The 26,290-nt window shown below is 43.0% G+C and overlaps 1 long non-coding RNA gene across 4 annotated transcripts, besides 4 other annotated features; it reads right to left on the reverse strand.

Moving 5' to 3' along the window:
- Positions 1–1,481: 1,481 nt before the first annotated feature.
- Positions 1,482–16,445, reverse strand: LOC105371985 (uncharacterized). Of its 4 annotated transcripts, XR_001753344.2 has the most exons (5): positions 16,221–16,413; positions 15,595–15,695; positions 15,263–15,500; positions 5,087–5,206; positions 1,482–1,688 (listed from the first exon to the last, which is right to left on the reverse strand). It is a non-coding gene; the product is annotated as an uncharacterized LOC105371985 (long non-coding RNA). The 4 variants fall into 4 exon arrangements; XR_001753346.2 differs by lacking the exon at positions 15,595–15,695 and having other exon boundaries at positions 16,221–16,445; XR_001753345.2 differs by lacking the exons at positions 1,482–1,688; positions 5,087–5,206 and adding an exon at positions 13,839–14,585.
- Positions 7,743–8,242: an enhancer, noted in NCBI's record as "H3K4me1 hESC enhancer chr18:10314625-10315124 (GRCh37/hg19 assembly coordinates)". NCBI's record gives its function as "activates a minimal SCP1, AML or CMV promoter by ChIP-STARR-seq in primed H9 embryonic stem cells {active_cell/tissue: H9 hESC(primed)}" and the evidence as "EXISTENCE:reporter gene assay evidence [ECO:0000049][PMID:30033119]".
- Positions 10,551–11,087: an enhancer, noted in NCBI's record as "H3K27ac-H3K4me1 hESC enhancer chr18:10317433-10317969 (GRCh37/hg19 assembly coordinates)". NCBI's record gives its function as "activates a minimal SCP1, AML or CMV promoter by ChIP-STARR-seq in primed H9 embryonic stem cells {active_cell/tissue: H9 hESC(primed)}" and the evidence as "EXISTENCE:reporter gene assay evidence [ECO:0000049][PMID:30033119]".
- Positions 11,088–11,625: an enhancer, noted in NCBI's record as "OCT4-NANOG-H3K27ac hESC enhancer chr18:10317970-10318507 (GRCh37/hg19 assembly coordinates)". NCBI's record gives its function as "activates a minimal SCP1, AML or CMV promoter by ChIP-STARR-seq in primed H9 embryonic stem cells {active_cell/tissue: H9 hESC(primed)}" and the evidence as "EXISTENCE:reporter gene assay evidence [ECO:0000049][PMID:30033119]".
- Positions 11,626–12,162: an enhancer, noted in NCBI's record as "OCT4-NANOG-H3K27ac hESC enhancer chr18:10318508-10319044 (GRCh37/hg19 assembly coordinates)". NCBI's record gives its function as "activates a minimal SCP1, AML or CMV promoter by ChIP-STARR-seq in naive H9 embryonic stem cells {active_cell/tissue: H9 hESC(naive)}" and the evidence as "EXISTENCE:reporter gene assay evidence [ECO:0000049][PMID:30033119]".
- Positions 16,446–26,290: the final 9,845 nt, after the last annotated feature.

The raw sequence follows: 26,290 nt of genomic DNA on the forward strand, positions 1-26,290 counted from the left end.
CTTAGTGAATGAGATGGTGAAGTGGAAATATGATTGTGAAGTTCAGGCTGTCCTTCACTGCTGCCTGTTTGGTTGACATATTTATTCACATGAGATAATCCATTAACTGAAACTAACTGTGAGCAGGAAAGTAATGCCTAACTGCACCAAAATTCAATATGTAGAAATGTAGCAATTACGTGCCAGGGAGTTGTATCAATATGCAGTATCTGAGAGTTGATCTTATGAAATTAAAAAATTATCCTAGCTGTGTAAATAAATGCACTCTCTTTCCTCATTATTTCATTGCTATGGTTTGAATGTTCCCTCCAAAATTCACATTGGAATTTAATTGCTATTGTGATGCTATTAAGAAGTGGGACAAGGTGGAAACTTTAAGAGGAGATTAGGTTATGAGGGTTTTGCCCTTATGAATGGATTATTCTATTCATAAGTTAATGGATTAATGGGTTATCATGGGAATGGGTTAGCTATCCCGAGAGGGGATCTGTTATAAAAGCCAGTTTGGCTTTCTCTCATGTACTCTTCTCTCCCTGGTGTGACTTCTGCCATGTTATGACACAGCAAGAAGGCCCTCACCAGATGCAGTCCCTTTACCTTGGAGTTCTCAGCCTCCAAACTACAGGAAACAAATTTCTTTTTATTATAAATTACCCAGCCTGTGGTATTGTTTTACAGCAACATGAAATGAACTAAGTCATTCATGTAGTGCTAGTCTATTCAGTGCATTTTTAATGACCACCTTCAATGTACTAATCTTTTGTACCAGATCCTGAGGACACAAATATGAGTAAGATAGTATTTGCCCTCACAGGGTATAAAACCTAATAAAAGAGAAAGACAGGTACACAAAACTGTGATATGAGAAATGAAACTAGATATAATGAAATCTGAGTGTGAAAGAGTGAGAGATTTATTTATATTGATATGGCCCAAAAAGTCTTCACAAAAATGGAAGTATTTGAATTGCATCTTAAAAAAAGAGATGAATTTGGGCAGGTAGAGTTGAAATTAGGAGTGGAGAAGTGCATCTTCAAAAGAAGGAGTGAATGAAGAAAGGGAGAGGCATGAGACTCTACTGTGCATTGAAAAACATCAGAACAGCCCAGTGAGGCTGGAGCATAAAGTGAGAGATGAGACAGAAGAGGCTGACTGCTTTCCAGAAAACGTGCTCCATATTAAGTTCACTCATGGATACACACTGATTCCAAGAGTTCATTGTAGCTAGTATCATCTCTTCCAAATCAATCTGTAGTTAAAGTGTTGAGTCCATGTAATCAAAGACATCTTCCTAAAATCTTAGCATATAATCTTACTTGTAGAGATTACTTATTTACTGAGTTACTGTTCTGCACAAAGTATTAAATTATATTGTTTCCTGCTAAAATTATGTGATTCCCAGCCTCCCTCACAGCTAAATGTGGCCACATGACTAAGATTTGGGCAATGACCTGTGGGAGGAAGTATTGTGTGGTACTTACAGGCAGTCTTTCTAAGGGAAGGTGTTTGCCTTTTTTGCTGTTTCCTCCTTTGCGCTGACTGGAATGTGGATGTAGCTGGGGCTCTAGCAGCCATCTTCAGCCTTTAGGATGAAGGTCGGATCTTAGAGAGTGTCATGGAGAGTGGCAAGTGGTCTGGCTTGTTAATGACTTTGTGAAGCCTTAAACTGCCTTCCTTTGGGTTTCTCTCTGAAAGAAAAATAAACTCTTATCTTGTTTCTGCCTTTGTTCTTCAGAGACTCTTTCTTATAGGCAGCTAAACTTAATTCTAGTTAATAACAGTGATGTAGCCAAGATTTAACCTAGGTATTGTGACATCAGACCTCTTGAGTTCGCCTACTACAGTAACAAATTTTAATAAGTATGTGTATAACATTTTCTATATTTTAATTCATGTTTTAAATAATTACTTGGGCATATAAGAAATTACTTTATCTAAATTTGGGAAGAAGTGCAGTCCTATTAAAAATCATAATCATAGTCTTTTGAGCAGGTAGTTGCTTATAAGCGTATGGGGATATGAGTATGAGTGTTTGGCTGAATATCTCTTTTAAAAATGGAGTAAAAGGTAAGATAATACTTTCATGCAATGGCATTTGAAAAATATCTCTAAGCGGTTGAACTCTAACTTCTAAACCTGGATGACTCATAATAAGTTTTATATTAATAGATGCTACATTTTTCTGTTTATATAAAAAAACAAACATAAGGCATCAATCACACTAACATCAAGAGTACTGAAGAGCTTAGATCATTTTCTGGGGTTGTTGACTTGAAGGAGTTTAGATATAGTTAGATAACCAGATTGCCACTTTGAAAACTAATTTATATTCTGCGGTGGCATAGAGACCTGTGTCATTGGCACGAGATGCATAGACTTGGGCTCTGTTGTTGATTTGCTGGCTAGAGGATGAAGATAATTTGATAACAGTAATGATGTGGCTCCAAGATCACATTCCCTCTTATTTTTTCTTAATACTTTTTTTAAACGATGAGCTTTATGAAAAATACAAATATTTCAATATAGCCTTTGGTGTAGGGACAGCATTGAGGTAGATATTGGACATGAATGGACCAATTAGAAAATCTCTTAGGTACATGTACTGAAGGGGGAATCGATTTTATAATATTACAAAGGAAGGGTCTCATGCTGTGTAATTGAGGGGAGGAGGGACAGTTCCTTGACTGCTAGAGCTTCAAGTGACCTTTGCATTCTAATAGCACATGGAGTACACAAATTGGTAGAGTGCGTATTAGACCAAGAAAATGGACACAGAACTCTCTGGCTAGAGTTAGGAAGCTGCAGTATCGTGCAACCATGACAACAATCAGACAACCACCATTTTCATTCACTTTTGTTTTATTCCTCAAATGCTTAGGTGAGGACACCATGGCAAACAAACCACAGGGACAACTGGAGGGAAATAATTCCTTCTGTGAAAAGGCATTAAGGAGCACTCAGTTCCTAAAGATTGTGCTTTCTGCAAGTTCATACCCGGCAATTGGCTTTCTATGATTAACAGTAGGGGATCCTAGAGCAGCGAGTAGATATTTTTGCATTCTGTATGGAGCCAGAATTAACTGATGAGGTACAGACATAAGAAGAAAAAGTCCCCAGGACCTGGAAGACAAAGATGGGATCCGGAATGATTCTCTTGGCCATGATTGCTAAGGGTGATCAACAGTTTCTCAGTGAGGAGTTGGAGATTAACACATGAATCTACTATGTAGCCTTTATACTTTGTTGTATGTAAGTAGATATAGAAATGGTATCTACTTCTCCTTGTAGAAGATGGGTACAATCAGTGTCAATAAGCTCTGTCCTTGCATTCAGTCCTGGGGCCATAAGACTGATTAGTGACAAACACTGATAAGGAGCTCATCAATTTCACCTCATTTAATCCCCGACCCCATGAGGTACTATAGTTATCGTTATCTCAATTTTTTAACAGTTGCATGAGACTGAGGCCCAGAGGGGTTCGTTAGGATGCAAGTGTCTAAAGAGGGTGAGGACGCATGCTGTGCTCGCTGCCTTCTCCTAGACTGCACTGTTTTGTATGGAATTGTGTCCCCTAATAGACTTGCAAAGGCAAGATTCTCATCTATGGGGAATCAACCCAGGGAGGGGGGAACCTCTAGAGGATGTAGCCCCAAGGCTCATTCCTGCCTGAAAGTGCTACAGGGGTTGGAATGGACAGTTCCCACACCAAATCCTAGGAACAGAATGCTGCCTGCGTGCACTGCTGTGTTTCTAAAGAACTCTTCAATTTATAACCTCGTAGAACTATTTAAATAAAGAGTTGGGAGGATGAATGCAATGTACATTTTGGAAGTTGGAGACAAAAGGGAACTGACTAAGATGGGCTGAGGACTCAGGGAAGTTCCTGCGGACTTTCCTCCTTCAGGACCTGGGGGCCTGTGGATTCTCCCATCATGAGTGGACAGGGAAAGCTCCCTTCTCTACCCACAGAACTGGGTGATTCTCAAGAGTGACTGATGAGGGGCCAGCTCCACACTTGCGGCTGTACCAGGCCTCACCAGGGTGATACCTGTTCCAGGCTATCTAAGGAGAAGCCTCACGCTCCCTGCCAGAGACCTTTTCACCAAACTTCATTTTGGTGTTCACAGCAAGGTCATATCATGAAAAGCCGCGTTAATGAATTTCTTCATGGAAATATCAAATCATGTTTGTTCGGTCTCACTTCAGTTGGGCAATGGTTTCCTTGCAAATTGGATTTCCTTTAAGAAGTTTGCCAGGTCTCAGGCAGTCTCAACACATGTACTTAGAAAGGCTTCCTCAAGTCCATAGCCCTAGAATCGAGACTAGAGAATTAGGATGGGGATGATTTTATGTCCAGCCTGAAAGGATACAATGTTACACTTCAAAAACTATAAAGACAATCAATTAGACCACTGTCCTTAGAACACGGAAAATATTGAAAATTAGGTGAATGATCAGTTTAGTGGACTGTGTCAGACTTTGAGTAAGAGATGTTGACTACTTTCTTTCTCATCACTGCCATCCTCTACATGTGCACAAACAGGCCAACACACACACACACACACACACACACACACACACACGGTGATGACAGCTCTTGTGCCTTGGGGTTCAATGCAGCTACATGTACTGAACACTCACCATGTCCTTGGGTTTTTGCTAAGGATGTTGTGTTCATGATTTCACTTAATCCTCATAACAACCACTTGATCTAGGTACCATCCTGCATACTATAAAGGGACCCACTAAACAGGGATTTTACTATGGATAAATACCATGCTCAGTTTATGCTCCAAACCAGATCCGCTGACCATAACCAGACCTTCCCCAGTGGCCAACCATATGGAGGTGTTGGATTTCCTGGATGCTGCCAGGGTCCAAAATAACACCAGGAGCGAGGGGGAGTTCCACAGATAATCTGCTCACCCTTCCTTTCCTAAATGATGCTCTGAGATGCCATGTTTCCTGTAGCCTCTCTGAGCCATGCCACAGGATGGATCTATCAGTTCTTTTTGTAATGAAGTAGTGGCCATCTTGGTAATGCACCCCTGTCCATTGGTTGTTCCTCCTTTATCTCTTTCTTTACCTCTCACTCTTGCTTCCCTGGGCTTGCATCCTCTAACAAGGCATTAGTACTTCAGCTTCTGCATAACGCTCTGTTTCATAGGCAACTCGGGCTAAAACAGATGGTCATCAGTGCTTGAAGCTGCAATGAAAGATGAGGAACACATATTTGTCAAGAACTTTCTATACATCAGATTATTTACTCCTAAGGAAGCAGCTGGAGTTTTGCTGTGGACCCTGAGTGTGCCTGATGGCTAAGAAAGTCAAGCCTGCAGAAGGAGTTCCCAGAAGTATTTGATCAGTTTTTTGTTTCCTGTTCAAATAATAAGACTAGATTAACACACATTCCCCAGGGTGGTGAGGATTCTTGACCTGCTGCCTTCGTCTGTCTACTTTATCCCCAAGCTCTGTTTGTGGGCTCAGGGGCTTGGTCCCAGACCGTGGGAAGCCATGCTGACCATCAATTGTTCATCATAGATTTCCCCTGGAGCCCTCCCTGTCTCTCCAGCTCTTCCCAAGGTCTGCTTCTTCTAGGATCCGGTCCAGTGTGGGCTACCAATATCCTCTGGCATCCAGAACTCAGCCCCGTGATGATGCTCTTCCCAAGAATGTGACCTGAGCCACAACATTTTACTGACATGTCCCCTAGAGTCCTCTCTCTCATTCCAAGAAGAGCTCTGTGGCTTCCCTCCAGTGCTGGGACTGTCTCTAAGATGAAGGTGGGCAAACTCATTCACTCATTTAACAAGCTTTTAGTGAACGCATGGTATGTACTGTTCCTAGGCTCAGCTCTTGAAGAGTCTGTGGTAGATGGAGCTTCACATTTCAGGTTTCCAATGGCTCTGAGAGGCTGAACTATAGGAATTTCAGAGGGCCATCTCCTTTAAACAAGAGCCATTCTGTAACACACCATTGAGTTCATTGACCCATATTAAGCCATACCATATACAATAGAGTCTCTGTTCACTGGTCTTTACTTAGCCTATGTTGTAGAGTATATCTTTGCTCCAGATAGTCACTACCTCCTTTGGGAGAGGATTGCATGACCTCTCCCTTTGAGATCAAGCTTGTCCAAGAGTTGCAGTGCCCCACCACACACCCCACCACCCCGTCCAGCCCCAGGAGATTATATTGTCCCCTCCCTGAAGAAAGACTCAACCATGTGACTTGCTCTGGCTAGTACAAGGTGAAGTTAAGGCATGTGCCAGGTCCACATGGAAGTGGTAAGGGCCATTGCATGGTTCCACATCCCTTTTCCTGTACCATGATACTGGCATGCCCCAGATAGGGACAGATCCTTTCACCTGGATTCTGAAACAACGAGCGGGAGACATGGAGCTCCAGCCAAATGGGAAGGGTGCCTGATGTGGAGGAGAAGCAAATCTTTGTTCTTGTAAGCCAATGAAGCTTTGGAGCTATATGTCACTGCAGCATAAACTGATGAAAGCCGACAGTGCGACAGAAATGCATGTGTTGTGTTTACGAGCAACACTACTTGCATGGAAGACAGTCACGAATGCTCACAAGCTGAACATCATCAGCTCTGCAGCAGCTCTCTGGGGTGCACACATTCTTCTGTGTCCCCCAGGGGAGAGATGTATGCTTGCCACAAATCGGACATATTTTTTCCCAACCTGTTTATTCCAGTTGCACATGTCACTGCAATTACATAATCTAATTAAATAGTGTGAAACCAATGAAGTATGAGTACAAAAAGAAGGATATTTATTGTTTCTCTTAAAACTAAGTCCAGGCCAGTCGTGGTGGCTCATGCCTGTAATCCTACCACTTTGGGAGGTCAAAGCGGGTGGATCACCTGAGGGCAGGAGTTCAAGACCAGCCTGGTCAACATGGTGAAACCTGGTCTCTACTGAGAATATAAAATTAGCCAGGCATGGTGGCACACGCCTGTAATCCCAGCTACTTTGGCGGCTGAGGCAGGAGAATCATTTGAACCTGGTAGGTAGAGGTCGCAGTGAGCCGAGATCACACCCCTGTACTCCAGCCTGGGCAACAAGAGTGAAACTCCATTAAATAAATAAATAAATAAATAAATAAATAAATAAATAAAACCCAAACAAACAAACAAAACAAACAAACGTAAGTTGAATGCTTTGAAAAGACTGCAAACAGGCAAGTCTTTCAGCATATTGCTGTTGAATTAAGTGTAGGTGAGACAACCGTATCATAAAACTCCAGAAGTTTTGGAATTTTGATTATTTCTCAAATGGCTTTATTTTCACACTTCACTTTAAAGAAATCAAAATGGAAATCCCAAATGATTCATAGGAGCGGTTTATGCAAGGAGACACAGAACTTCAGTGAGCAACTCATAGCCAAAAGAAGGCCTCAGTACTCCATCAAAATCCTGGCGAGTGAACGCACAAACATGTGTTTTTGGTAAAATAAATATTTACAGTACACATGTATCCTTTTTTATGATATCCTCCTTTTACTGACTTTCAATGAACAGAATTGGTTGCAATTAGGATGGGTGTGTAGTTTTTACGAGACACCCCTCTCCTGTGAAACAAGCCTGCGGGTGGATCTTTCTGGGCCCCCATAGGCACACCCCTTGCGGACCCCGCTTTGCATATCCCAGCGCTAAGGGCCAAGATGCACCTCCGTGTGGCTGTGGAGGCCTTTAGGCCCTGTGCCTCCTCCTGGCTGTGTTGTGGGTGAGCTGGGGTTGATTCTGCTGAGGAGCTGGGAGGGGCACTTGTGTTCCTGCAAATGCCAACCATGGGGACAGCCAAGAGGGGCTCTGGAAATGCAGACTCAAAGCAGCACTTGCTGTTGGCAACAGCTGTCGCCAGGACTGGAGGAAGGCTTTCTAGAGGCCCTGGTTCTGAAAAGCTTATGGCTCCCCTCCCCTACTGCCCCAGGTCAAAATAAAAACAAGACCAAGCCATGAGGAAAGAAAGTGGACTTCTGATGTGTCCCAGGACATGATTTTTCAGTGTTGTTCGGTAATAAACATCAGTCTTTCAAATGAAATGTTTTCCTTTTTTTTTTTTCTGGTGTCCTGCTCTCAGAGTCCTAAAGGTGGCCCTCCCTGACTGTTGCCACCCAAGCTCCAGTGCAGGTGGCCTCTGTGAGGGTCAGACATCCTCCGTGTGCACTGAGGGGTCAGTTCTCCCGCCTCCTTGAAACATATGGCCGCGCATCTTCCCTCACCTCCTCCTCGTTTTTTTTCCCTCCTTGGCTCTGGTGAAGTAGAGTGACAGGAAAATACATTCTGTTCCCCACTCCTGGGCCCTGCCTGCACTCATGACTTCTTTTCAGCTGTGTGCAGTCTGCTCCCTACACACCAGGAGTGAACTCCCAGTCTGTGACTTCAGCCCCCTCCTCTCCCATGCAGTCACCTGGGGAGGAGTTTGAGCCTGGAACCTCAGTACACGCTAAGGTATGCATGCAGGTGGACGAGTCCAGTCTGACACTCTGCTCTTTTTGTCAGAAGAACAGGAGCCCAGAGAGGGCAGGGAGTGCAGTCAGGAGTCAGAGAACCGGGGCCTCTCCTGCTGCCTTTGAAGCCAGCCTGTGCCTATCAACCCCTTCATCCATCTCTGCTCTGAGGGAGATGGGAGAGCAGTCATTCTCACAACCCTGTGAAATTCACAGCAATGGGTTTCCTCATTCCCATAGAGACAAGTCATGGAGAAGACACTTGTTCCCTATGATTGAAATTTCAGGTAATAATGGTCAAATGCACTTAGCACATCTTAGTTCCTGTGGGCTTCACAAAAAAATATGAGCAAACAAAAAGGAGAACTATGACCGGAACCATAACAGGAAACCTGCTGGTGGCCAAAGACAAAATCTTAGAAGTTTGCAGAGAGAAAAAAAGAGGGCTTTCAAAGGAGCAACAGTATCACTGGGACCTCCATAAAGAGAGAGAGAAGCAGCAGAGAAAATGCCAGTAGGGAGAACAAATGATCAAGTAGAGTACAGCATCACTCAAGAGTGGAAAAGGAAATTGTCATTCTGCAGAAGAAATCACTAGACAACACCATTTAAAGGTCAAGAGTAACCAAGAGGTCAGGCACAGTGGCTCACGCCTGTAAACCCAGCACTTTGGGAGGCCGAGGTGGGCGGATCACAAGGTCAGGAGTTCGAGACCAGCCTGGCCAACATGGCAAAACCCCCTCTCTACTAAAAATACAAAAATTAGCTAGGCATGGTGGTAGTTGCCTGTAATCATCCCAGCTACTTGGGAGGCTGAGGCAGGAGAATTGCTTGAACCTGGGAGGCAGAGGTTGCAGTGAGCCAAGATCACGCCATTGCACTCCAGCCTGGGGAACAGTGAGGAAAAAAAAAAAAAAGAGTAACCCAGAACTAGAACGGGTATCTCTCTTTTGTAAATTGAGCATTGAAACAAAATGTGACTCCTCCACAGGAGGCAGGGAAACAGAGAAGTGTATGGCAACAGTATCTGCCCACTGAGAAAGAAATGTATATCCAGAAGCAGAAAATAATTTAAATGGTAACAGAGAATTCTGTCCTAGTTCATTGGGAGAGAATTTATTTCTAAGGGTTAAATTGCTAAGAGAGAAGTTATCTCTTTTTTTTTTTTTTTTTGAGACGAGTCTCACTCTGTCGCCCAGGCTGGAGTGCAGTGGCACGATCTCGGCTCACTGCAAGCTCCGCCTCCCGGGTTCAAGCAATTCTCCTGCCTCAGCCTCCCCAGCAGCTGGGACTACAGGCACCCGCCACCACGCCCGGCTAATTTTTGTATTTTTAGTAGAGATAGGGTTTCACCGTGTTAGCCAGGATGGTCTCCATCTCCTGACCTTGTGATTCACCTGCCTCGGCCTCCCAAAGTGCTGGGATTACAGGCGTGAGCCACCACGCCCAGCCATGTTATCTCTTATCTAAAAGATAACAATCCTTCAAGATCAAAAAAGACAGGAAGAGACTGAAATATTGAAGGCTGGAGAGAACTAAGGAGAAAACAGCTAAAGGCAGAGTGGGTTCTGGGACAGAGGACACCCATGGGGACGGCTGAATTCCCATGGGGTCTGTGGTTGAGGCAACGTTGTGTCACAGCAAAGATCCTGTTGTCAATAATTCTGCTATGGTTAGGTAGGATGTTACCAGCACACTGTTTGGCTGGCTTTTGCACCTTTTCTGTAACTCTAAACTACGTTCATAGCAAGTTTGTTTTAAAGGTGTGTGTTAAGGATGTCTGGGGTTGAGGGCCTCACTTGAGGCGTTTCCTCACTGACTCGGTCCTGCTTACTACCCCCTTCTGGATGCTCCCAACACACACAGTCTCAAGCAACACCCAAGCACACACACTTTAACGCAACAAGACAAAGCATCACCCACAGAGCAGCATGGCAGAAACAAAGCCATGTGCAAGGTCCCAGGAAACCAGGTGGATACAAGGCCCATGCCTGTGCCCTCTCCTTCTGCCTGCAGACTGCAGACCCTGCTCCAGCATGAAAGCCCCTCAGGAGCAGAGCAGGCAAACCACAAACGCAGTCCTGCTGTCGGGGTCCCAGTGCTTACTCCATGAAGGGCCACTCCAGACTCCTACCCCACCATGACCCCAGTGGGGACTCTAAGCCAGAGCCCCTGCCCACCAATCCATCTCCTTTACTTGCTATCTGGCCAAGGGACACACACGCTGACTTCTCTCCCCCCGAGGTGCACTTAAGCAGCAATGCCTGGGTGCATCTCAAAAAATTCCTCCAGATCTTTGTCTTCTTGTCAAAGATTGTCCTTGTAAGAAGACTGAGGTGTCAATTTCATAGTCCCTCCATCTGCATTTTTTGTCATGAGTCGCATAAGCTGCATACACCACCTCAACTGGCTTGGGTGCTGGAACCTGGGCTGAAAGGATGGGGGAGGACAGAGGTTCAAGCCACAGCAAATATCAAAATAGAAGTGAGTTGTCCCCTAAAGAATTCCAGGTGTAAGATTCTGCCACCTTCTCTCACGCACATAATGATTCCAGCCCACCCTCAGAATTTCAGCTTTGTCTTGCAGGTGTCAGCATTTCCGCCATTCCTCAGTTATTCAGTGAAGGGACTACTGAAAATTCCATGACTTCTTCTGCTCACATAGTCTCACCCTTCCTCCTAGCACCTTGTAAACCAAAAATAAAATTCTGAGTTCCTCCGCCAAATCCTCTGAATGGATCCCTCCTCTTGGCCAGGGCATTCCAACATTAACCTGAGATACTGGCTCAGGTCATGACAGGAAGAAGGTGTTAGACAAGCCTCATTATGACCTCCTCCCTTTTTGATTTCAAGACAAGCTGACCAGCGTTAAGATCAACATAGATCTTAACTCTGATAAGAAGCATTTACAGTCTATTCTCTCTGAAGCCTGCTACCTGGAGGCTTCATCTGCATGATAAAACTTTGGTTTCTGAAACCTCTTATGGCAGCTCAGACATTCCTTTCTATTGATAATAACTCTTTCAGCCAGTTGCCAATCAGAACAATTTTAAATCTACCTATAACCTGGAAGCACCCCTGCTAATGTATATAAAAATATCCAGCTCCAATCTGCACTTGAAAACATTATTAATAATACTATCTATAAAACAAGGATTTGACTGAGATGGTCCTTTTTGGGTATCTCCCAGCTCAGCCACTCTGATGTTAGAGCTCTGATTCCCTGGAGTGGCTGAGCCTCACCAGCTTTTGAAAGTCAGCGTTCTGTACTAGTGGGTTATGCTGGAAGGGACAGAGCTCTCGGAGTTCAACACCCAATTTTTAATCCTGGCATAACCTTCTTCTTTGGGGCCATTGAGCAAGGAGTGACATCACCTCCTCAGAGTCACGGTGCAGCTTGAATTGTTCACAGCATGTGAGTGCTCCTTATCCCTTATCCCTCCCACAGAGCCTGGAGCATTCTAACACAGTTCCCCCTGCCCTCGCCCATTTCCTACATAAGTGGGGACGATTCTTGAAGCTGGCATTTTACAGAAGCAGAAGAACACTCAGTAAAGCTAAATAGATGATGAAGAACAAAAACATCTTAAAATATTCTAAGTTTGGTTTATAGTGACCACAAAGGAATACATGAAAAATACCATTTTAGACTCAATAAGGATATTGGAGTTTTGTCCATTATAATTTTTAATCTTTGCTCAATTTCTTTTTAATATTTTTTTCCCATAATATTTGACTTTGGGGCCATGAATGGATCAGACAGTGTTTTTTTCTTCTGAATTCTAGCTGCAGCACTAAACAATTTCTACACTTGAAGAATGCTGGGTAATACTAGGGCTCAGCAGTGTTGCTTCTCCTTTTCTTTTTCTGGGCATGTGGGAAACTGCACTTTACAAGGTCCTTGCACGGGGGTTTACTTTCTTCCTCAGCCTAGAAGTGACACAGGTCTCTTGGGCTGCCGTTTAATTGGTCAAATCTGGACACCTTTGCTCCACCTGAGTCTGCACTCTCTTTCCTTTCTTCAGTCAAAGATGTTCTTGATGGAGTCCCTGTCAGCCTGGATCCCAGAGTGCTGATGTGGAGCAGAAAACTCCTTGCCCCAAGTTGGACATGTAGCATGGGTGAGAAATAAATCTAAGTGTATGTTTTGGGAATTTCAAAGTGCATTTGTTATTGCAGGATAACCTAGTAACTGCTGAATAATATAGAAGGTCTAATGGCAACAGGTTAAAAAAAGTAAGAAAGGCCACATCAAATCACTTTGTAGCAATTGCACCTACCTGGCTCTGCTAATAAACGAGGAAAGAATAAGAAAGTAGTGATAGTCCTAACATACCTAAAACATAACAACTTACAATAATCACTTCTCCAAAATCCTTCTACTTAAAGGATTCCACAGATGTTTGCTGATGAGTTAGCCAACTTGAAGTTGAATTGATCATTATAGTTTATTTGTTCCTTCAATAAATATGTGCCAGGTTTGTCATCATGTGGTAGGTAACAGGCAACTAACAAGATGGACATGTCATATTTACAGTATGATAGATGGTGATAACTGCTATGTTCAAAAGAAAAATGCAGGAAAGAGGGTATGGAGTAAAGGGTGGTGTACGATTTTAAATAGGGTGGCAGGAAATTGCTTACTGAGAAGGTGAGAGAATAAGCTATGCTGATATCAGAAAGAAAAAGTGACATAGGCAGAAGGGACAGGAAGTGCAAATGGGCTGAGCTAGAACTTTGTCTGGTCCCTTCCAAGGTTAGCAGAGAGGCCAGGGAGCTGAGAGAAGCAAGCAAGAGGGGAAGTGGGAGGAGAGGAGGGTAGTTGTCTATGGGTGAGGATGTAGGCAGATCAAACTTGCAAGACCTTATAGCTCTGTAGGTAAGGCAGATTCTACCAAGTCCGAGGGCAGAAGCAAGGCAGAGTAGAGCAACAGCAGAGGAGCGCCATGCTCTGACTGGATGGGGAAGAATCTGGATTGAAGTGCCAGGGGAGGAGCTTTGAGACCAGTTTGGAAGCCATTGCAACAGCCCAGGTGGGAAGTGATAGCCTCTGGCCAGGGTGGCAGTGGGGCAAGGGTGAGGAATGGTGAGACGCAAGAAGGCAAGTAGAGCTGCAGGTATTGCGATGGATCAGATGTGCAGTGTAAGCGTCCACGACGATGCTGAGAGTTTTGGCCTCAATAACCATTTTTTGATCATCTTATGATCATCACGCCCACATGTCAGTAGAGGCACCATTAATCATACATGGAGAAATACAAACCTGGAGAGATGGAATCATGTTTCCGAGATCACAAACGTGGCAGGTCCAGGGATCTGGACACACCCCTGTGATCCACATTCCCCTGACCCCAGATCTCCTGCGTCCCATTTCTCCCCATAACTGCATCCTCTTGGAGGCCATCGGAAGCAGAATGAGAAGCAAGTCATTATGACCAAGAAAAGTCCTTGCCAGATGTCTGTCTTCATTCTCTCTGAAAGCCCACACGCCACCCAATCGGCTTCTGAATTACACGGGATCTAAAGGAGTGTTTCCTTTTGTTATTTGCAAAATAAGAAGGGGTCACTTCTAAGCTTTTTCTATGCACATCCTCTTACCATGAATCACTATTTCATGTTCAGTGTGTGGGCGCGAAATATTGGAAGCCTTCTGGGGGTTGCTGCTGGGGAAGAATGTTTCATTGTGTAACCACAGACATGGGCTACTCCAGAGTTCTTGACAAATGTCCATGTGTTTTCTGACCACCCTGCAAGGAGGCGGCACTGGTTTGAACTTGGCCTATGCACCTCACTTCAGCTCTGAGACACATGGACATTCCCGGGTCTGCCACAGGCTCTGTGGAGGGCGGCTGAGTACAAGACACAGCCATCCGCTCTCCTTTCATGCCTTGGAAGGAATGCCCATCGAATCCTTCCTTGCATCCCTTTAGGATGTTTTCTTGGGACTTAGAAAAACACCATTTTCTTTCACACAGGATAGAAGAATTTTTTCCCAAAGGTTGAGCTCAATAGCATGAACTTGAGGCTTTTTTTTCCTCAAATTGTGGTTGATGGCCATCTGTCTGTCACTGGAGGTATTTTTCTTAAATGAAGATTCCTGAACCCCACCCAAATTACCTGAAATTAAAATAGTTGGGGTGAGGCCAGGAATACCTGCATTGTGAGCAAGCTCCCCAGATTATTTTTATATCCACTATGTCTAAGCTTCAGAACTGGATGAAGAACCAGAAATGCAAAGCTCTAGTCCTGTGGGAGCCCCTGCATTCACTACTTGAGACCATTTTGAGGCCAGCAGACCCCAGCTGGATCCCATCTTCTCTACCGCCAGTCCTGCCCTCCCCAGCAGGCATACAAGAGCTGCAGGGACCAGGCTGCCCCTAGCCCTCTGATAAATGCTGTCACAGCCTGGCTGCAGGTACCAGGACTCAGAGGTTGTCCCGGGCTTCCCCAGTCTGGGTAAGAAGCAGCTGTGATGGATGGCCCCAGAGGGACAGGCTGACCCAGGCCCCCTTTCTGGTCCTGATGAGAACTGTGCAGCAAGCTCATAGCCAGGACTGTTGGTACATCAACTGACAAAGAAGGACTTGGCCTCTGGTGAGCATAAAATCCTGTCTTGACTAAGGTTGAGGGGGTGGAATTGACCTTTCCAGAATGTGCACCCTTCCCCTTAGTCTAAACAAATCCTTTTGCCCTTTTCCACTCAGCTGAGGGCCAGGCCCCCTTCCTGACTGCCCCAGCTCACACGAGCCCCCTTCTCGAAATCCCATTGCGCTCCCCATCGCCATTGGCCTCACCTTACTCCGTCTTGCCTTTTCATTGCTGATTCATGTGGGTTACTGTGGTGCAGTGGAAAGAGTGCAGACCTTGAGCCAGCAGATCCAGGTGTGAATCGCAGCTGTAGAGTGCAGTGTCTACCTCTCAGAGTCTCAGGGTCTTGTGTGTTCAGTGGTGATGAGACCACACAGCATCGTGCAGGGTGAAATAACATGACCCATGGAAAGCTCTTGATGCAAAATGAGACTCCTCCCTGTCCTGCAGAGCATACCAGTTTAAGCTATATTAGATACAGCTCTGCTTTTCTGTTCCTAGAAAGTTTGACAGCAGCTGACATTTCCTGAGTACTTACTGCCTGCTAGGCACTGTGCTAAGTTCTTTCATGTGTTATTTCAGTCAATGATCCCAACCACCCTGTCAGATAGGTCCTATTATTATCCCCATTCCACAGATCTGAAAAATAGAGGTTAGCTTGGTTAAGCCATCTGCCAAAGAGCAGATAGTGATAAGCTGTGGTCAGAAATCAAACCCAGGTGTGTCTGGTTCCAGGGCCCGTGGGATGCTAGTCTCTGACCACAACTCACATGAGTATTATGTGAGTTGTGACTCACATACACACTTGCTGACTGTAAGTTTCTGGATGTTTTCATGTCAATGAATACTGTAACGAACCAACCAAGTTCCTAATTTTTTTTAAGGGCAATGGTTCCTTCATCCTTATAGTCCCACGACTACACTATAAATTCCCACAATCCACCTCTAAGCACCTCTAAACCCAAATTATTTTCCTTCTAAAATAAACCAGTATAATAAATAACAACAGTAATGATCATGGTAACAATAAACATTTTGAACGTAGTTTTTCTCTTCTTTTTCTCCTTTTGTTTCATGACAGTGGATAATGTGAGAGTGGAGAATGGAACAGAAGCTTGGAGAGGTGACGGCAGCGACTGAGCAATGTGTGTTTGTTGTACCTACCCTCTGTCAGGGCTGTCTGGGGAGAGCCGTGATGGGGTGCAGGGCGAGGCGTCTTATACCATGCTCGTCACTCTGGAGGAAACACAACTCCAATCACAAGAACTGAGCTGAAGTCTCTGGTTCGTTATTTTTTGTTTTGTAGCTGAGAATGTTAGTAAGCTCTGCTGCTGTTCCACACACAATAATGCCAACTTCCTTGTGAGTCACTGAAGAACATGGAATGTGGTGTGTGAATTGCTTCGAAGACCCTGACTGGCCACCCGAACAACAGGTGTCAGTTCTGAATTTAGGAGGTGCTTAGTAAATGTTTACTTCGGGATTTTAATTATAAATAATTGTCTTAATCCTAAATTATTGAATTTGACCACACTTGGAGGAGGCAGATCTTGAGTTCACTGGGTTCATTACCTGTAGCATTATACACCCACCTGGATCAGTTAATAAAAATGGATAAGCAAGAGCTACAATGAGCATCCGAGAAACACATGCCTGCCTGACCCCACACATCTGACAGTCAAAGTCAGTGACATTTCAATGCTTTTCCAACCACCAATTCGTATGATCCTCATACTGGGTGAGCACCGACGTTCTGTAGATAAGTAAATGAGGAGAAGTCGGTCCACTTTACATAAGCTTGAATCATATGTGTCAAAAAAAAAAAAAAGTAGGGGGATGTTAACATCTTTAACCATTGTGTTCCAGAAGGTAATTTTCTCCCCACCTCACTGTAGGAAACTGTGTAGCATCATTTTGCTGTTTATTCTGTCTACTCTCTTTCTTTGAAGAAATAAGTGTGATAACATAATTTCTAACTCTGTTAATCAGTAATTAAGACAAGAGAAGACATTGTTTTACTGGTAGTAAATTTGTAAGAGTAAAGCACATAAAATTGATTTGAACAATTTCCAGTGATATGCTTTTTAAAATATTTACTCTTAACTTTTCAGTAATCACATTGAGGTTTTTCTATTATCAGTATTTTAAAATGAAATTTTTAATAGTGCTGTATAAAAATTGATTTATGTCATACTAAAAACCATTTCCAGCTGATTAGTTTCTGCTGTATCTTAGGCTAACTCAAGTGCACAAAATTTACATTTAGCTGTATTTGGCTCTTGGACCTGTTATAAAATATTAGTGATGAAAACCCCTTAGTTTTAGCATGGTGTCTCTTAGCACAAATTCAGTTACAAACAGTTAAAATTTCTAAATTCTCTGCTGTAGACTTTCACATATTGGATTGTCATAATAAGCTTCAAAAAGAAGAAAATAAACACTTTTATATACAGTTATATATATATAAAACAATTTCAAAAATAGAAGAAAGTGAAAACATTTTATTTTATCAGCAAAATAAAAGTAAATACACATTTGTATGTATATTTAAAGTTGCAAAAATGTTTAATAGTGAACATCGTTAGGAGAATGTAATAAATGATAAATGTTCATTCTTTCTCATACATTTTTCTAGCTAAGTATGTGACTATAGCATGTGCTGCCTCGTTAGGTAACAAAAAATTTCTTGGATTTGACATTCAAGAAAAACTGCATTACTGTAATTAAATTAAAAATTAACTGTAATACTACCTCTAGTGATAATTCTTAAATTATTTTTCTTCAATGTTTTTCCAATGATTGTTTTATGATCTGTGAATGGATTCATAATTTTCATATTTTCAAACCAGAGCCCTTATGAAATAGTAATTTAAAAATTACTTTGAAGCATTCAGAAAATTATTTGTGCTGCTTTTTTTTTTTTTTTTGTGATGGAGTCTCGCTGTGTTGCCCAGGCTGGAGTGCAATGGCGTGATCTCAGCTCACTACAAACCTCCACCTCCCGGGTTCAAGCAATCCTTCCACCTCAGCCTCCTGAATAGCTGGGACTACAGGCACGCACCACCATACCTGGCTAATTTTTGTATTTTTAGTAGAGACAGGGTTTCACTATATTGGCTAGGCTGGTCCCGAACTCCTGACCTCAAGTGATTCACCTGCTTCGGCCTCCCAGAGTGCTGGAATTACAGGCATAGGAAAAGTATTTTTGTTGAAGTGCAGTGATATCGGCAATTTGAAAAATCAAAGAGACGTCTCATAGTGAACTTTTTTTGTGCATTTCAAAACATTTTAACTTTCTTAAATATGTGAGTTTAACTCCAAAATTGAAGACAAGTCATCATTCCTTGAAGATTCAGCTTAAGTAAAAGACACATCTATGGGAGTTTTGCAATTCATTCTTCCAAGAATATTTAGCCAAATATTAAAGAATTGTCCATTTAAGACTATAAACTAATAATCTTTTGAAAAATCTTCTTTCCAAGTAAACAAACTTTATTCAACATTAAGTAATAAATGCATTCTTATTCTCTTTTTAAAGAGAAGTGTTACATTTTTATGTCATGTATTGCCCTTAATAAAATATACACTTGTACAGATTATACAAGAACTTTAGTTAAGCGTGAAAGCATTTGTGAGGGATGGATGCTGCACAGTGTTGGCAATGACCAAACTAATGTGTGCATGTCAATCTGGCCTTGCCAGTTTGTTTAATTCTATTTCTTACACTAGATCATCTGCCAATCATATTCACCAGCCCACCCAGAAACAGTTCAATACATTTTCTATACAGATATTTTGATAATAAATGTATGTAATTATAGATTAAATATGTCAAACCAGGTACCTGAGAAGTGATTGAATAGCCTCATATTAATTCTACTTTCATATTATAATCAACAAACCAAAAACAGAATGTAAGGGCTATGCTTAAGATACCAATTAGCTTATCATCTACCAGACTAATCATTTTTATATTTTAGAATGTTTAGTGTTTTTGAATCAATATGGAATGTATGAATAGTGGTGGTTTTCATTCTTTTTTTTTTTTTTTTTGAGATGGAGTTTTGTTCTTGTTGCTCAGGCTGGAGTGCAATGGCATGATCTCGCTCTCTGCAACCTCTGCCTGCCACCACACCTGGGTACTTTTTTTGTATTTTTAGTAGAGACGGGGTTTCACCACGTTGGCCAGGCTGGTCTCGAACTCAGGTGTTCTGCCTGCCTTGGCCTCTCGAAGTGCTGGGATTACAGGCGTGAGCCACGGCGCTGAGCTGAGTTCTGATGAATTCTGATAAACCTCCCTCTCCTAATATGAGAAGTGAGTGTGTAATGGCACCTACTTCATGAAGATGGTGAGAGGATTAAATGAAATATGTGTACAGTCTTACCTAGTCAGCACACAATAAATGATAGCTGTTTTCAGTTTACAGTTGTTTTGGTTTCCTAGGGCTGCCATAACAATGTGCTGCACACCAGGTGCTTAAACAACAGATTTTTGTTTTCCTACCATTCTGGAAGCCAGAAGTTCAAGATCAAGGTTCCAGCAGGGTTGGTTTCTTCTGAGGCCTCTTTCCTTGGCTTTAGATGGCTGTCTTCTTGCTTACCCTCATGTGGTCTTTCTTTTATGCATTTTCTGATACTTAATCCCTCCCCTTATAAGGACACCAGTGATACCAGATTATGATCCACTCTAATGGCCTCCTTTTAACATAATTACCTCTTTCATTCTGAGCTACCGACTCAGAATGAAATGTATGAATTTTGAGGGGAGGGGAACCCATTTTGACCCATAACAATGGTCAACAATAAAGTTTTGTAGAATGGCAAAACATGGCTATGGAAAACTACTCATCTCTTTAGCACTCATTTTACAAAAGATCAAGCTGATAACCAAGAGGTAAAGTGTTTAGCCCAACTACACGGATTAATTTGTTCTGAACAAAGAATTTAGGCCATAAAAGCCTGATCTCTTTTCAGAAAAATTTAAAGCATCAAATACTTAATAGTTACTTAAATCAACATTTTAGCTCGTATTTTTCTGAAAATCTATTGAGAATATTTATTTCTCCTCAACCTTAAAAGTCCTTTAATTTTTTATTAAAAGTTAATTTGATGAAAATGTCTGCTTACCTTGATTCTACCTAATTTTTATGTCCTAATGATCCAATATCTTGCAGGCCATCTGGCCCTGATGATTTTTGTAAGTTCTCTGGTACAAAAAGTCACACAATATAGCTAAAATAGTATCGACTCAACGCTTGTTAGCTCTTCTGCAAATAAGCTGTGTTATTTAGGCAACTGTCTTCACCTTTGTTGGCCTCAGTCTGTTTATCTGTAAAATGAGAGAATAAAGTTCTGTGATTTTGTGAAAAACTATTGAATTCGAATGATCGTGTGAATCAAGCTATGTTTCCCATAAGGACCACACCACCATCCAATTCCAACATGCATTTGTCGTCTGCATTTCTATACAGTGGATCAGAGCTGGAAATACTACTTCCATTGCCCTTAGATGACAATCAAGGCTGGATTCAGACTGTTAAAATGCATTTTACCATGACTACAGAAAATGCTGGAATTCCCATTTTCTGGATTTCAATCAGTATTAGCTTCATTCACTCTGGTTTAAATTATTCTCTATTTTTCCTCCAAGAATTTTTGGTGTGTCTTAAGAGTTGGGAATATTGATTATTTTCACCTTAAAAAACCCTGTCTTTTAGCCGGAAGCAAGGTTTGTGAGCCACGTTCACAATCTTCCTAGAAATAAACTCTCATGGAAATCATATCATCTTAAGGAGACTCTCAAAAGTATTTTAACATTTTGTCGAGAAAAAAGGGGCAAGTAAACCTACAATAGATGCCAGTGGGGCCAGAAATAAAGAACAGAGTGCAAAATTAAAACCCCAAATCAGTTCTAAAGATTGTGACCTTCACAGCAGAAGATTCACTGAGGACATTTGAGAGTCTAGTCATCTGTGTTGACTGTTCCTTTGATCATTCTGTGTTTAAGCATATATCTCATTTACTCTCCCAACTGCCTAACAAATTATTTATAAAATTTTACAAAGAAAAGGAAACCCCCTAATAGCACTAGAAACTAGGCTATTCATTAGCATGCAAGGATGTCACCTGTCCCATCTGTGAGTATCTGGATAGATCTTGCCTCAATCAAGACGGGAAAAAAACAAAGCCAATGAAACACTTCTAGCCACAGGAAAAGAAAAGTCCTATTCAGAAGAAGCATCAGCTGGGTGCAGTGGCTCACACCTGTAATCCCAGCACTTCGGGAGGCCGAGGTGAGAGGATAGCTTGAGTCCAGGAGTTCAAGACCAGCCTGGTTTACATAGCAAGACCCTGACTCAAAATAAATAAATAAATAAATAAATAAATAAATATAAAAGAAGCACCTTACCACAAGAAATACAAGAAAGTTTTCAAAAACATTAGATTATGTTCTCAATAAATCTCAATGAAGCATGAACTTCATGAAGACAGTGATAAAGGCTGAAATATAAGATGAGATGGAGCAGGGCACGGTGGCTCATGTCTGTAATCCCAGCACTTTGGGAAGAAGCCAAGGCAGGCGGATCACCTGACGTCAGGAGTTCGAGACCAGCCTGGCCAACATGGTGAAATCCTGTCTCTATTAAAAATACAAAAAATTAGCTGGGCATGGTGGCGGGCACCTATAATCCCAGCTACTTGGGAGGCTAAGGTAGGAGAATTGTTTGAACCTGGGGGGCAGAGGTTGCAGTGAGCCAAGATCGTGCCATTGCACTCAAGCCTGGGCAACAGTGTGAGACACTCTGTCTCAAAAAAAAAAAAAAAAAAAAAAAAAAAAAAAAAAGATGTGATGGAAGGAAGCAGTGGCAACTGAAAAGGTGATGGCACAAAATTTTTAAATCCGCAAGGAGCTCAAGTTCAAGGTGAAGCTTGAGCATATGTTTGCCTTTCCTTCCAGCCCAAATTCCATGGCAATAAGTGAGGTTTATAAGAGCAGAATAAATCCATAGCAAAAAAGCATAATGAGTGAGTATGGTACTACTGGGAGAATTTTTGAGAGGCAGTTTCAAGACAGAAGTTGAACTGATGGAGAAACCAGACTCTGCAGAGGCCTCCACCTTCCAGCTCAGGGGAAAGAGGGACCAGCAAGAGAACTGCCGATGTTTCCGACGGACAGCAGCATTGGTAAAAGTAATTTAAACTGACATTACTCATTTTCAACCACTGAGATGTACTCTCCCCACCCCCCGACCCCATCCCATAAGCCTCCAGTTCATCTGGCCCCAGGGGGCTTCAGAGACCAAACCTCAAGTTCAGGAGAGAGAAGACTGTTCATCTTATGATACTGAGGGCTGAGTCTGAAGCTGGGGTGAGTCATCCATCCAGTGAGTACTCTTGGAAGGCCATACTAATAAGGCTTTGGCTATTTTAGGATTAGTTTGTGGGGATTAGTAGGGCCTGTCACAGATATCCAGTGGGGCTTTGGTGAGCAGGCTATGGATAATACAGTCCATTATGTGTATACAATTTTTGCTACTATGTAAACATCAGAAGGGCATGTGTGGAGACAACTAAACAAATAGGCAAAAATAAAAATATTGGTAGTTGAGGTGCAGAGACAACGAGTGAGTGCCTCGCTTCCTGCCCTGGCCTTGGTGGCACTGTCATAATTATGGGGCCGCCCTCATTGTGTTCAAGCAATTACCCTGTAGCAGGCTGCCTGGGCTCTGCAGCCAGCCCCATCCCCCAGATAATGAGAGGAACATCTTCGTAGAGTTGTTGTGAGTGGTAAATGAACTCGTACACAGCACATTAAAAAGTCTAAGTTGTGGCCGGGCACGGTGGCTCACACCTGCAATCCCAGCACTTTGGGAGGCCAAGGCGGGCAGATCATGAGGTCAAGAGTTAGAGACCATTCTGGCCAACATGGTGAAACCCCATCTCTACTAAAAGTACAAAAATTAGCCGGGCGTGGTGGTGCTCGCCTGTAGTCCCAGCTACTTGGGAGGCTGAGGCAGGAGAATTGCTTGAACCCAGGAGGCGGAGGTTGCAGTGAGCTGAGATCACGCCACTGCACTCCAGCCTGGCGACAGAGTGAGACTCCGTCTCAAAAAAAAAAAAAAAGTCTAAGTTGTTAGCTCTATTTCTTGTCTGTCTTCCCGCTGAATTATGCACCTCTGTGCGTGGAGGCTGTGTCTGTTTGATTCTCCAAAGCATGCCTAGTATCTAGTACAGCACTACAGCAAAAAGTGTAGGATAAATGCTTGTTAAAAACCTGGATTTTAGTTTAAAAAATAATATTTTTCATATCGCATGGTTTTCAGCAAAAAATAAAACCTATCATTCTACGTTTCCTCATTGGGACGCCTCTGGTTTTGCTCTTGTCGCCCCGTGTAGCAGTTTAGATTTGTCATCAATTACAAAAGACACAGAGTAACCTGGCCTCTATACTGTTCACCCATCTGTTGCTCTTTCATGAGGCAAACTCCTCACAGGTGATAAACGAACTTAACCCTAAAAGAAAATGACATCACCTGCATCTCAATGTAGTTCTGCAAGGCTGAGTCTGTGTTTCTGGCCCTGCCTATGCCGCTGATGGGCCTGCCAGGATTCTCTTCACTTGGTTTCTGCCCTTCAGTTCAGTTTCCTTATCTGCGAAGTCAGCTTTAGGCTTTGTTCCTGACAATGGGAGGGTTGGGAAAGGTGAGAGGCTGGGAGAAAGAAGGGAGGGTGAACAGGTGGAGTCTACACTTGCCTTCCCCTGCCCCTAGCAAAGCTGCCCCTGCTCCTGCCAGAGGCGTTGAGCTTCCACTTCCAAAAAGAAGTTACTTCTGCCACATGCTTTGAAAATCACTTCACTCAATAATTGCCAAAGTTTCTTTCGCCTTCGACAGATTTTGACTCAGTCCACTCCTGCTTTGGAAGTGTATATATATCTTTTATAACTTCAAAACTCTGACCAGAGGGAAATGAGTTCAATATATGGCTAAATAAGAGCAATGAAGTAGTGAAATGAAGGGTTACTTTGATCTTTGTTAACAGCAACACGTATATATACAAATTCTCTCCCACCTGCCACCCATTCTAAACCCTTTCTTCATCCTGCGTTGAGTTCGAGTTTCAGTTAAACTTGTCATCTCCATCAAATCACCCGGGTAGGGCAGGAGGTCATTTTCTTTATCTATCGATCACTCTATCTATCTATCATCTCTCACCGTAGCAGTTCACTCTGGAATGAAAGACTTTCAAATTTGTGGTTTCCTGAACATGTCAAATTCCTATCTGCCTTCATAGCTCTCTATATGCATATTCCCTCTTGCTGAGGAAGTTATTTCTTCACTGTTTACCCATTGAACATTCAGATATCCCATACTGTGATCTCTGGAGCCTACCTCTTTATAATTTATATCACAGGTAATTACAGTTATTTAAGTATGTATTTCCTCTCCTAAACTCTGAGTTCCTCCAGGGCTGGGACCACATCGGAATCACCTATCCCTTGCACTGAGCAGACACTAGATAATTATCAGGTGCTCAGGAATGTCTGATCAATACTGAATGCAGAGATGTGGAAATGTGCATTCATTATAGCTCTCACAGTAGGTTTCTAGTGTCAGCTTTTGTAGTCTCATACTAAAGGAAGGAGACTTTGATGAGGGTAGATAGATTGGGTGTTTATCAAACATGGTAATGCAGGGGTCATAAGACACTTGCTTAGGACGAGAAACCTCACAAGTGATTCCAGGCACGGAGAGCCACGCGGAAGGAGGCCCAAAACTACATACACCCTCCTTTTAGTGTCCCAGAAAGGAAATGAGACATCAGACCGTGGGAATTACAGGGGACAGTGAGAAGCTCAACCAGGGAAAGGGAATATTTAAGGACATCATACCAGCTATTTTCAGATTTTCCAATAGCAATCATGTCAGTGAGAGACTAGATTTGTTCTAAGCTTTTGCATGTTGCAGAGTAAGGACCAGTGTGATGGAGATTTGGGTATAATTTCAGGAGGAAGTGCTGAAACTTTCCTCTGTCTTACAGTGGAGTAGCTTGTCTCTGGAGCACGCTGTCCTGCCCCTGACCACGAGGGTCCTGGCGTATGTCAGAGAACCTTGGCGAGGGCACCCACTTCACAGGGCCCATTAGACCAGATACGCTCCAACAGCCCTTCCTCAAGCCTTGGGGTTTCTGGTTCCACAGTTTGGGAGAAGAGAAATACTGAGCAAAGATAACCAATACGGAAGGATAGCTTTGTGATTTTTGCTACCCAAGAATGATATTAAATTATTAAATTCCCCCACCCCACACAATGATAAACTTCAGTTTGTTGCTCAAGATAAAAACGATCTGTGAATAAGACTTTGTCATAAAATGAGCTGTCTACTTCCTAAGCTTATTTGAGTCCTGACCCCCAACCTGAGAGGTGGCTTGTCATCGTATCTCTTCTTATTGCTTGGTGGAGGAGTCAAAATTAATAGTGGGGAATATCCCTTTCTGGCCTGTTTTCAATTATCAGAAGATTTAGCCGGCTCGGAGGTGGGGGACTCTGCTGTCTCTGCTGCCCTGCGACCTCCTGAGTTAGTTCCTTTTATCTCTTTCTGGATGCCCTCAGCCCCAGCATGCCATGCTGCACTGGCTAAATAAACCCGTAAATCTAGCTTTTGTGCCCTGCTAATCCTTTTATTTCCTAAATCTTATTTAATCCGAAAGGCTGCCTTTCATCTCTTGAACTGTCCGCTGGGTCACTCACCCGTCCTATCAGCAGTCCTTGCAAACCCTGGACAGAGTCGAAAAGCTTCCCATAGTCTCCGGATTCTCATTAGGTGCTGGTGGACTAGGGGACTCCTGCCAAGTGGCACTCTAGAGAAAGGCCCCACCTGCAGGGGTCTGCTGCACTCAGGGAAAGTTGAGACCTGTGCATTGCTCACCTGGACACTGCCCCGCCCGCCAGCAAAACCAGCTCCTCTCCTCTGCGATGCTCTGGGATGATGAAAGGAGAAAGGTTGCCTCTCTGGCCTCCGGGACATTGGACCACAGGCCAATGACAAAATTAATTTGGGCACAAAGAAACAAGGAAGGGCCATTTCCTGCTAAGTACAATTTGGTTTTTGTCTAACTTAAGTAAAGATAAGCCCTGGGGAAAAAGAATAGTAACTAAGACAATTTCACTGTCTAACGACAGGCAACAGGCAAATTCATCCAACATCCAAAATGACCATTTGCATCTCAACTCC

The sequence above is a fragment of the Homo sapiens genome, chromosome 18, assembly GCF_000001405.40.
Source record: "Homo sapiens chromosome 18, GRCh38.p14 Primary Assembly".
Classification (NCBI taxonomy): domain Eukaryota; kingdom Metazoa; phylum Chordata; class Mammalia; order Primates; family Hominidae; genus Homo; species Homo sapiens.